Genomic DNA, 12,388 nt, shown 5'->3' with positions numbered 1-12,388 from the left:
AGCCCTGCAGAACTGTGAGTCAAACCTCTTTCCTTTATAAATTACCCAGTCTTGGGCATGTCCTTAGAGCAGCATGAGAACAAACTAATACTATTGTAAATTAAAGAAAAGTTATTAGAGGTGGCACATGCCTGTAGCCCCAGCTACTGGGAAGGCTGAGGCAGGAGGATCACTTGAGCCCAGGAGGTTAAGGCTGCAGTGGGCTGTGTTCATGCCACTGAACTCCAGCCTGGGCAACAGAGAAAGATCCTGTCTCAAAAAATAAAAAATAAAATTTTTAAATTAAAAAAAAGTGGCACTATATAATGATTCGGGAGTTAATTCTCCAAGAAGATGTAAATAACAATCCTTAATGTGTAGGCAACTAACAACAAAGGGTCAAAATATGTAAGGCAAAAACTGAGAGCAGCAAGGAGAAATAGAGAAATCTGTGTGATTATTCTGAATAATACTATTATTGGATAATAATAGTATTATTACTATTACTTCAACTCTTTTGGTAATCGACAGATCCAGCAGGCAGAAATCAGTAAGGACACAGTTGACTTGAACAGTGCTGTCAATCAACTGGATCTAAGTGCAGTGTGCAACCACAACTTGGCATCCCTTTGGAAGGAATACTGCTGTCATGTATGACAACAACCAACACAGAGAGGGCCTGATAATCCCAGGAGGCCTAGAAAGTCTTTACCTGGAAAGCTCTGCCCTCCTATACTGGGCAGCCTCACCATTCACTTAAACACACAGAGTTTACCACATGCCAAGTTTTCTTTTACATCTTTTACATACAAGAATGCATTTAATAATCTATGAAATAGGTAATATTATTTTCTCCATTTTCAGATGAGGAAACCAAGGCACAGAAAGGCTGAGTGATTTGTCTGAGGTTGCACAGCTGTGACAGTCATGGGTCTTAAATCCAGCACTCAAGCTCCAAAGCTTTGGTTCTTAACTACTATCTGTCTAGAAGTCAGAGACCTTAGTGTTTTGGGGATCAATGACCTATCTGAGCATCTAATGTAAACCCCAAACCCTGTTTCTGGCAAGGTGCATACACTTAATTCTGCATTCCATTTTAGGGGTTCACAGAATCCCTGAAGCCCAAGTGAGGACCTCAGGTCAAAGGCCTGTCCTCTAAGCAGTGGGCAGCTTTTGAGGGTCTTTGAGCAGGGGAGTGGCAAATTTTTGAGAAGTCTGGGGGGATGTGGGCAGTTAGCAGTTGCTGCAGATGAGGCTCACCCTGCCTCTTCTCCACATCACAGCCAGAGCCATTTTAAAATCAGAAATGAGACCAGGGCCAGCTCACACATCCAATGCCCCCTGGCTCCTAAAGGGCTTCTTCACAGGGGCCACAGATCCCCAGGGGGTTCACAGCTCATTAGAGAAGCATCTCTGACTTAGAATAAAATCCAAGCCCTAGAGTGAAAAAAGCCAGTTCCCAGAGTACACACCCCGTGACTCCATTTATGTAACATACTTGAAATCACATAACCATGGAAATGGAAAACACATCAGTGGGTGCCAGGGGCTGAGGGGGTGGGTCAGGAAGGGAGTTGGATGTGGCTATAAAAGGAGAATTTGAGCCATCCTTGTGATGATAGAACTGTGCTGGATCCTGGCTGCATACACAAACCTATGCCGTGATAAAATTGCATAGCACTAAACCACACATGCGTACGCAAACACAAAAATGAGTACAAGTAAATCGGGAAATCCCAATAAGGTCAGTAGCTTATATCAGTGTCAGTATCCCAGCTGTGATACTGTATTACAGATTTCTACAATCTTGCCCTCGGGGGGAACAGCATAGAAGCAGGGGTCTCTCTGTGATTTCTTTTTCTTTTTCTTTTCTTTTTTTTTTTTTTGAGATGGAGTCTCACTCTGTTGCCCAGGCTGGAGTGCAGTGGTGTGATCTCGGCTCACTGCAACCTCTACCTCCTAGGCTCAAGTGATTCTCCTGCCTCAGCCTCCCCAGTAGCTGGGACTACAGGCAAGCCACCATGCCCAACTAATTTTTGTATTTTTAGTAGAGATGGGGTTTCATCATACTGACCAGGCTGGTCTCGAACTCCTGATCTCAAGTGATCTGCCCGCCTCAGCCTCCAAAAGTGCTGGGATTATAGGCATGAGCCACCACGCCCGGCTTCTCTATGATTTCTTCCAGCTGTGTGTAAATCTTTAATTATCTGAAAATAAAAAGTTTAATTTAAGAAAATGAAGAAAAGAGCCAATTCCCCTGCTTATCCCTCTAACATTCCCCTCCTATCCCCTCTCCCTCTTCTGCAATCCTCCATTGGCCTCAGCCCTGGGATACACTCCCAGCTCTCCCTTTTCCAAGCATTTGCACCAGAAACACTTCAGAAGCCTTCTCTGACCCCCCTCAACTAATGCGGGCCCTCCCTGTGACTTCTTATCACAGCACCCTGTTTATGTCTGTCCCAGTACTTATCACTATCTCTAATCAGATTAATGAGGTTACATGTATGAATGTTTATTTTATTTCAAGATGCAGATAGCAAAGATAGCTTTGACTGCAAAATGTTTTCAACTTCCCTAGATTTTTTTTTTTTTTTTTGAGACGGAGGTTTGCTCTGTTCCCCAAGCTGGAGAGCAGTGGCGTGATGTCGGCTCACTGCAACCTCCACCTCCCGGGTTCAAGCGATTCTTGTGTCTCAGCCTCTCGAGTAGCTGGAATTACAGGTGTGTGCCACCACACCCAACTAATTTTTTGTGTTTTTAGTAGAGACAGGGTTTCCCCATGTTGGCCAGGCTGGTCTTAAACTCCTGACCTCAAGTGATCCACCCGCCTTGGCCTCCAAAGTGCTGGGATTACAGGCATGAGCCACTGTGTCTGGCCTAGATTAAAATATGCCATAAGAAAAAGACAGAACTCAAGTGTGTTAGTCCATTTTTGCATTGCTATAAAGAAATATCTGAGACTGAGTAATTTACAAAGAAAAGAGGTTTAATTGGCTTATGGCTCTGCAGGCTGTACAGGAAGCATAGCACCCGTATCTACTTGGCTTCTGGGGAGGCCTCAGGGAGCTTTTATTCACGGGGAAGGCAAGAGGGGAGCAGGCGTACATGGTGACAGCCAGGGCAAGAGAGAGGAGGGAGGTGCCGCACACTTCTAAACAACCAGATCTTGTGAGAACTCACTCACTATGGCAAGGACAGAACCAAACCATGAGGGACCCGTCCCCATGACCCAACATCTCCCACCAGGACCCACCTCCAACACTGGGGATCACATTTCAACAAGAGATTTAGAGAGGATGACATCCCAACTATATCAGCAAGCAAAAGACTAGAAAAAGGTAGCAATCTACATTATGAACGGTTAATGGCCTTAATATATGAAGAGTTCTTACAAATCAATAAGACAAACATCCCTTTAAGAAAAATAGGCAAAGAACATAAATGGTTCACAAAAGACATATTCCTCCATCAGATGTGAAATAGCCACCTCAATATACTGCTAGTTTTTCAAGTTGGGAGTATAATAGGTAACCTCAAATTTAAATTATGTATTTGTCTATAAATGCATTGTTTGCCTCCCTCTGAGAGACCACAAGCCCCATGAGGGCAGAGCTTTATGTCTGCTGTGCTCACTGCTTTATCCCCAGTGCCTGAAACAGTGCCTGACACAGGCATAGCATGTGTACAATAAACATATATTAAATGAATGAATGGTTTAAAAGTCAGCAATAATAGGCTGGGCACAGTGGCTCACGCCTGTAATCCCAGCACTTTGGGAGGCCGAGGCAGGTGGATCACCTGAGGTCAGGAGTTCACCAACATGGTGAAACCACATCTCTACAAAAATACAAAAATTAGCCGGGCATGATGGTGGGTGCCTGTATTCCCAGCTACTCGGGAGGCTGAGAGGCTGAGGCAGGAGAATCGCTTGAACCCAAGAGGCAGAGGCTGCAATGAGTTGAGATCACACCATTGCACTCCAGCCCGGGCAATAGAGCAAAGTTCTGTCTCAAAAAAAAAAAAATTCAGCAATAATAAATTCAACAATCTTTTTTTTTTTTTTTTTTGAGATGGAGCCTAGCTTTGTCACCAGTCTGGAGTGCAGTGGCACGATATCAGCTCACTGCAACCTCCGCGTGGGTTCAAGTGATTCTCCTGCCTCAGCCTCCTGAGTAGCTGGGACTACAGGAGCACGCCATCACACCTGGCTAATTTTTGTATTTTTAGTAGAAACGGGATTTCACCATGTTGGCCAGGATGGTCTCGATCTCTTGACCTCCTGATCCGCCTGCCTCAGCCTCCCATAGTGCTGGGATTACAGGCATGAGCTACCGCACCTGGCCTCAATAATCATTTTTAAACATGAACCAGGTCCCAAGCTTTTGTCCATAGTTAACTGTATATGCAGTACTTATTTTGTGCCTGGCCCTGTTCTAAGTACTTACAATATATTAATCAATTTGGTTCTCCCAACGACCCTATGAGGTAGGTGCCATTAACATTCCCATTTTACTGATGAGAAGACTGAGGCACAAAAAGGCTAGAGCACTTGCTGGTGGTCACAGAACCATAACCTAGGCATTGTCACTCCAAAATCCACGTGTTTAAGGACTGTGGTTGCTGACCCTTGAAATGCAGTCCCCAAAACCCTGGAACTTTGTCCGGGGAGCCCCACTGGCCTGAGACCCATTGGCCTGAGACCCAGAGACAGCAAGTGACAAGGCCAAGGTCACAGAGTTAGGAAGCAGCAAAGTCAGTGAAGGCCGCAGCCAGGAAATGAGCAGAAGCATGGGCCTGGGAAAACACGCCCGCCACCAGGAGAACACACTTGACTCACTTTTTTTAAAAAACTCGGGGGAGATTAAGTGATTAAGCCTTGAAATGTCAGAAGCCAGCAGCAGCCTGGAAGCGACCCAGCAGGACTCTTCCCGAACCCACAGCGGGTGGCAGGGGGGCAGGGGGCGGAGGACTGGGGGCGCACAGGGGGCGGTACAGGCCTTCTGCTCTTCTTCCCTCTGGGCAGGAAACCTGGCTTGGAGGAGGGGCTGGTTCTGCAGACAGGATGCAAGCACCTCTGTGACAGGTGGCATGTGGAGAGGAATCCAGGGACAGCAGGGGCCTCGGGTGGGGGCTGGGGCTTTGGAGCCGCTGACCCCTGAAACTCCACGACAGAAACTGGCCTGAAACCTCAGCTCCTGTGGCGCAATCAGTTAGTCATGCTACTTATAAGAAACCAGCCCAGAGCTTCCTCTGGCTTCTGGGACAGCTGGGCTGGGCTGGCAGGAAGCTAGGCATGCACTTCTTCCTGGGACAGTAACCTACCTAGAACTGGGGTTTCCAGAAATGGCAGCCACGTCGGTGGCCCCACTGGGATAGTAAGGCAGGCCAGGCCAGGGCCCCAGAATGGCCCGGGATCTGCCTGGTTGGCTCCGTCCCCAGCCCAGCCAGTGGGAGGGAGGGGAGGCAACAGACTGGCTCTGCAGCCACCAGGAACACAAATCGGCCCCCTCCACCAACAGCACCCACCAGCCTCCCTGTGGGCCTGCTGTGGCTCAACCATCCTCACCCACTTGCTCAAGTACCTCACTTATTCTCCTTCTCTTTTTTGCTTTAGAGACAGGGTCTCATTCTGTGGCTAGAATGCAGTCGCACCGTCACGGCTCAGTGCAGCCTTGAACTCCTGGGCTCAAGTGATCCTCCTGCCTTAGCCTCCCAAGTAGTTGTGACTACAGGCACACACCACCATGCTCGAATAATTTTTAAATTTTTGTAGAGATGGGGATCTCTCTCTGTGGCCCAAGCTGGAGTGCTATGGCACAATCATAGCTCACTGCAACCTCAAACTCCTGGCCTCAAGCAAACCTCCTGCCTCGGCCTTCCAACATGCTACAGGCATGAGCTGCCGTGTCCAGCCATCTCCTCATTTATTCTTGCTGTGGGTGTTTTCCAAGTACTGCCTATGTGCTGGCTATTACAGATGCAAACAGGCCATTCATTCATTCATTCCTTTCTTCTTTTAACAAATATTTGAGCAAGGAAGAAGTTGCCAGAGCGTTTTGAGCAAAGAAGTGACATGATGAGACTTTAAAAAAGACCTCTCTTGCTTGGGTGGTGGGGGCACGGGTAGAAGTGGGTAGCAGTGAGGAGGCTACCACACTGGCCCCAGAGAGAGGTGCCAGGGCTCACACCAGGCTGCGGAGATGGGGAGGTTGAGAAGGGGCTGAATTCTAGATCTGTGTTGAAGACAGAGCCCACAGGATTTGCTGACAGGATGGATGCTGTGGGGCGGGAGAGAGAACAGGAAGGCTAATAGGAGTCAAGAATGATTCCACAGCCATTGGCCTTTTCCAAGATGGCGGCCTGTGGGGGTAGCCCGTGTGACAAGCCAGCCTGCTGGGCAAGCTGCAGGACTTCAGATTAGCAGAGGAGGCTGTTAGCAGGCGCTCAGGGAAGACCCTCCCTCATCCTAGAGGGTCAGGTTTCTTTATCGGGGATGCACCAGAGTTCTCTCGGGGAGGGGCCCGACATACAGCAGGCACTCAATAAGTGAGCATGTGTATTTTATTTTATTCTTATTTTAACAGGTATACAGTGTTTCCTTGGTGCCAGACACTGGCCTAGGTGCTTTAAGCCCTCCCTATGAGATAAGTATAATTATTAAACCCATTTTATGATTCTGAAGGTTCTTTTTTTTTTTTTGAGACAGAGTCTCACTGTGTAGTCCAGGCTGGAGTGCAATGGTGGGATCTCAGTTCACTGCAACCTCTGTCTCCCAGGTTCAAGTAGTTCTCCTGCCTCAGTCTCCCGAGTAGCTGGGACTACAGGTGCCCACAACAACGCCCAGCTAATTTTTTTGTATTTTTAGCAGACACAGGGTTTTGCCATGTTGGCCAAGCTGGTCTCAAACTCCTGACCTCAGGTGATCCACCCACCTCAGCCTCCCAAAGTGCTGGGATTACAGGCGTGAGCCACTGCGTCTGGCAGATTCTGAAGGTTCTTATGAGAGGGCGGGGTGAGGGAGGGAATGAGGGAAGACCCAGCGAATAGGCAGGCAGGAGGGAGGGCACGGCCCACTTCCCACCCTACAAGCGGGGCCCTTGGCTGGAGCAAGGGGGAGAAGGACTGGCTGGGATGGCAGCTGGAAGGTTGGCAGGCCGGGGACAACACCGTCTGCCAAGCCATGGCAGTAGACTCAAACTCTGTCTCTAGGGCAGTGGGGAGCCAGTGAAGGCTCTTAAGCAGGAGAGGAGCGGGCTGAGCTGAGAGCTGGCGAAGAGGGGGCAGGTTTGAGCCTGTTTGGGAGGAGGAGGCAGCAGGGACTTGGTGGCGCTTGGTGGGGAAAGCAGGCTGGGGAGAGCGGGGACAGAGGGAAAGTGGCCTCAGGCTGGGGTGGTGGGGAGGATCCCAGGGACCCTTCCCACGATGGAGAGCCGAGAAGAGAAGCAGATTTGCTGGGGAAGACCACGCGCTCCGGCGCACTGTGGACACTTTGAGTCCACACAGTCAACAGGCAACTCCATCCGGGATCCTGGAAGCCAGGCCTGTCTTCAGAAGATTCCAGAGGCCCAAAGGAGGAAACAGAGCCTGAGGAAACTGTGTCCAGAAGCCACCTACCCAGGAACAGCAGCCAGCCTGGCCTCCATCTTTCTGCAACCTGTTATCTTGCTTTATTTCTCTGCAATCTTTGTGGCATATTGCACACTCGGGCCTTATGTGTTTGGTGCTCATATCCCCTACTGCAAGGCCAGCTCACACAAGGCCAGTGTCGATCCCGCTCACAGCCATCTCCCCAGAGCCTAGCACGGTGCCTGGCACACAGCAGGTGCTCCATGAATATTTGCTGAATGGAAGAACGACAGGATGAATTCCCCTGGCTGTGAGCAGGGAGGCCTGGTTGGTCATCCCCAATTTTCCACCTCTCCCTGCTGGGCAAACACTAGCAAATCCTGGCTTGGAGTCCCCTTAAATGTCCTAATGCAGGCACAGATCTCAGCCACCTCGGGGCCCTGACCTCCAGAGAGCTGGTTATCGACTATCACTCACTGTCCTGAGCAGCGGACAATGGCCTCTTGGCGCCAGGGTGCTGATTAGATTTTGACTGTCTTAGTGACAGCTATGGCTCCTAGCTGGCCTCCTTCTTGAGGTCTGCAGAGGTCACTGTGACTGGCCACGTGTCCCCTCTTCCTTCAGCCATGAGAGGCCATGCCCTGGGCCCTTCTGCCCTTGGTTTCGCCCCTCCCCAACTGGGTGCAACTTTGCTCACCAGCCTTGGCATTGGTTGTACCAGTCTCACTAACAAAAAAAAGCACTTGAAGGCTGGGCGCGGTGGCTCCTACCTGTAATCACAGCCATTTGGGAGGCTGAGGCAGGTAGATCACTTGAGTCCAGGAGTTCAAGACCAGCCTGGGTAACATGGCAAGACCCCGTCTCTACCAAAAATACAAAAAAAAATTGCCAGGCATGGTGGCACATGCCTGTAGTCCCAGCTACTAAGGGAGATGAGGCAGGAGGATGGCTTGAGCCCACGAGGTCGCAGCTGCAGTGAACTGTGATCATGCCACTGCACTCCAGCCTGGGCAACAGAGTGAGACCCTATCTCTAAAAAAAAAAAAAGAAGCCCTTGAGCCTCACTCACTCACTTAACCATGGACCCAATCCAAGGAGCATTGCAGATACAATTAATATCATCTCCATTGCAGAGATGGAGAAGCCGAGGCCCAGAGAGGGTCAGGAACCTGCCTAAGGATGCACAGCTAGTGAGTGGGCTGGGATTTGAACCCAGGCCTTTGGCTCTGGAGTGCACAGCACAGTGCCTGGCACAGAAGCAGTCATAAACTTGCTTTTTTATACACCACTCTTTTTTGCTTCTCCTGGAAAGCTCACTATGGAAGATACAGTAAAATATTCTCCCTGCAAGCACAGATGGAGGAATGAGGCTGAGGGAGGTTCAGAATTTGCCCGAGGTGATGGTGACGGAGCAGGAAGTAACCAGGTAGGAATTTAGAATCTGGCCTTTGTCACCATTTGCTCGGCCCTCAGCAGCAGTGAACTTGTCTCAACAATGACCAGGACTTTGCCCCCTGGGCAAACCCAAAGCCAGGACAACACATGGGCACAGGTAAGAGCTTCCCGTTCATTTTCTGCTTGCAGACTGGCATATGGAAGGCAGTGGGTGGGGACTACCCATGGAGCTCTTCCTGTTGTCTCACCCCATACCATTCCTGGATGGGTGGGGACACACAGACATGGGGGCCACCTTTGTGGGCAGGGACCCCCAAGCATCTGAGACACAGAAGCATAACTCTGGGCCTAAGTGCAGGCTCCAACCTGACTCGGTGGGAGACCGTGGCAGGCTGGAGTCCACTCAGAGCCTCAGTCTCCTCATCTGTGAAATGAGAATAAGATCACTTGCTTCATGGCTGGTTGCAAGGCTGCTGTTGTTTTTAACTCATCTGGCTTATTAGTACAGGAGTACTGACATCAATAAAATAGAATTCATGACAATGATGTCTTGAGTAAGTATTAGAAGAGAGAAGGTGGATGGTTTTTTTGTTTTTGTTTTTTTGAGAATGTCTCACTCTGTCACCTAGACTGGAGTGCAGTGGAGCAATCATAGCTCACTGCGGCCTTGAATTCCTGGTCTCAAGTGATTCTCCCACCTCGCCCTCCCAAGTAGCTGGAACTACAGGTGCACGCCACCACACCCAGCTAATTTTTAGTTTTTGGTAGAGATGGGGTCTCACTATGCTGCCCAGGCTGGAAGTTGGCTCTTTTATACTGATTAAAGGAACAATTCAGCCAGCTGCGGTGGCTCATGCCTGTAATCCCAGCACTTTGGGAGGCTGAGGTGGGCAGACTGCTTGAACCTAGGAGTTTGAGACTGGCCCGGGAAACATAGCGAAATCCCATCTCTACAAAAAACACAAACATCAGCTAGGCGTGGTAGTGCACATCTGTAGTCCCAGCTACTCGGGAAAATGCAACAATTCACCAAAAAGGTATAAAAATCCTGAACCCTTATTCTACTCATATGGCTATGCACTTAACAACATAGCTTCAAAAATAAAGCAAAAAACTGACAGACTCAAAAGGAGAACTTAACAAAGCCTCTATTATGGTGAATTGTAATTGTATTACGGTGGGAGGTAAATCAGGTAAAAAAAAAAAAACCACATAGTGACATAACAAATATAGATAATATAATAGCTAGCTTGATCAAATAGATACATTTCTAGAACCTTATACCCAACAGAAAATATACATTCTTTTCAAACACAAGAGGAAAAAAATGACCAGAAAATCCTATAAAGATCTCAGCAAATTCTCTACCACTGATATTATAGGAACCACATATATTGACCACAACAACCATGATGACCAAATTTAGAAATCAACAATAAAAAGATAACTTAAAAAATTCTATCTGTCTCAAAAATTTAAAAAGCATATAATTAAATAAGTCTTAAAATGGGAACCAAAAGGGAAATTCTAAACTGGGCAGTGAATAACATTGTGTAACAAGTTGTGGAAAGAAACCAAAGCAGTACTCAAAGAAAAAATGATAGCATGTTAGCCTGAAGTAGATTTATTAGAGAGCATGAAAAACTGGAACCTCTTAGCTTTAGACAAGGACTCTCAGAATAGAAGAAACTTGGATTAACAGCAGCTCATATAGAAGAGAAACATGGAGATTTTAGCTGACAAGCCCAATATGCACTCCAAGTGGGATATGGCTGCTACACAGTATGATTCCAGGTTGCATCAACAGAAGTATAAGCTCTAGATCCAAGGAGGTAATAGTCTCCTTCCTCTTTGACCAAACAAACAGTCTTTGCGTGGGACTCCAACCAGTTGACTCATGTGCCAAGGCAGGCCAAACTTATAATTTCCTGAGTCAGGGAGAATACCTGAAATAACTACAGTTGTGTAGTCTGAATAAGAGAAGTATCCGAGTTTGGAGGGAGATGGTCACTACCTCCAAGAGGCAGAAACAGACTCAGAAAGTGGAAGCTCCTAGAAAGCTAATTTGGGCTGGGCACGGTGGCTCACACCTGTAATACCAGCACTTTGGGAGGCTGAGGTGGGCGGATCACCCTAGGTCAGGAGTTTGAGACCAGTCTGGCCAGCATGGTGAAACCCCATTGCTAATAAAAATACAAAAATTAGCCAGGCGTGGTGGTGTGTGCCTGAAATCCCAGCTACTCGGGAGGTTGAGGCAGGAGAATCACTTGAACCCGGGAGGCAGAGATTGCAGTGAGCTGAGATTGCGCCACTGCACTCCAGCCTGGGCAGCAGAGTGAGACTCCATCTCAAAAAAAAAAAAAGAAAGAAAGAAAGCTAATTTGGCTAAATCTCAGGAAGATTTTCTCCCAGTTAGAGCTGCCCACCTGTGGAAATGTGGCTTCTGGAAGAAATATGCTAGAGGCAAGACCGTCGGGAGGCTGTGGCCCTGCCAGCTTGGAGACCTGCCCAGCCCAGAGAGCTGGTGCCTCTCCTCCCTAGAATTCAGTCTTCCCTTTTAAAAAGGCAGAATACTTCCCTGGCCGCTTCAGGAAAACATAGGCCTTCTCTGAGTTTTTCAAAAATGGTTCTGGGCGACTATGCTCACTGATTTCCAACGAAGAAATGTAATCCTTTTAAACTCTCCTCTTTGGGCTGGATAGCTCAGAACCGTGGTTAAATGCACAGGCTTCTGGGTCTGTAGCCCTGGGTTTGAATCTGGACTCTGCCACTTAGGAGCCGTGTCACCCAGGTAAGTCTCTAGCCTGAGCCTCAGGTTCCTCCTCAGGGAAATGAGCAGGACACCCACTCATCTCCATTCCTGCACCCAGCACAGAGCGTGATGTGGACTCCAGCCTCCACTGCCAGAGGCCGTGGTTGGGGCCATGGCTTCGGGATGATTCAAGCACATTACATGTATTACGTACTTTATTTCTATTATTATTATATGGTAACATATAATGAAATAATTATACAACTCACCATAATGCAGAATCAGTGGGAGCCCTGAGCTTATTTTCCTGCAATTAGATGGTCCCATCCAAGGGCGATGGGAGACAGTGACAGATCATCAGGCATTAGAGTCTCATAAGAAGCACGCACCCAGGGCCGCGTGCAGTGGCTCATGCCTGTAATCCCAGCACTTTGGGAGACTGAGGCAGGTGGATCACCTGAGGCCAGGAGTTCGACACCAGCCTGGCCAACACAGTGAAACCCTGTCTCTACTAAAAATACAAAAATTAGCTGGGTGTGATAGCACAGGCCTGTAATCCCAGCCACCAGGCTGAGGCAGGAGAATCACTTGAACATGGGGAGGTGGAGATTGCAGTGAGCCAAGATCGCACCATTGCACTCCAGTCTGGGCGACAAGAGCGAAACTCCGTCTTAAAAAAAAAAGAAAAAGTACGCA

General features: G+C 48.4%; 1 protein-coding gene across 9 annotated transcripts in view, besides 2 other annotated features; it reads right to left on the bottom strand.

The window, feature by feature from the left end:
- The window catches only part of IL4R (interleukin 4 receptor), a 51,023-nt gene that overhangs the window by 32,527 nt on the left and 6,108 nt on the right, over positions 1-12,388 (bottom strand). For 4 of the 9 annotated variants that reach the window (XM_011545826.3, XM_047434067.1, NM_000418.4 and 1 more), the window contains exon 2: positions 2,054-2,186. The exons of the other annotated variants lie outside the window; for them this stretch is intronic. The gene's annotated coding sequence lies outside the window, so the exon portion shown is untranslated. The remainder of the gene's footprint in view (positions 1-2,053; positions 2,187-12,388) is intronic. 9 annotated transcript variants of the gene reach the window in all.
- Positions 4,120-4,784: an enhancer, noted in NCBI's record as "H3K27ac hESC enhancer chr16:27338789-27339453 (GRCh37/hg19 assembly coordinates)". NCBI's record gives its function as "activates a minimal SCP1, AML or CMV promoter by ChIP-STARR-seq in naive H9 embryonic stem cells {active_cell/tissue: H9 hESC(naive)}" and the evidence as "EXISTENCE:reporter gene assay evidence [ECO:0000049][PMID:30033119]".
- Positions 6,932-7,786: an enhancer, noted in NCBI's record as "H3K27ac-H3K4me1 hESC enhancer chr16:27335787-27336641 (GRCh37/hg19 assembly coordinates)". NCBI's record gives its function as "activates a minimal SCP1, AML or CMV promoter by ChIP-STARR-seq in naive H9 embryonic stem cells {active_cell/tissue: H9 hESC(naive)}" and the evidence as "EXISTENCE:reporter gene assay evidence [ECO:0000049][PMID:30033119]".

Source organism: Homo sapiens, chromosome 16, assembly GCF_000001405.40.
Source record: "Homo sapiens chromosome 16, GRCh38.p14 Primary Assembly".
Classification (NCBI taxonomy): Eukaryota; Metazoa; Chordata; class Mammalia; order Primates; family Hominidae; genus Homo; species Homo sapiens.
Note: the sequence above shows the minus strand (reverse complement) of the source record. Positions and strands in the feature narration are given on the sequence as shown.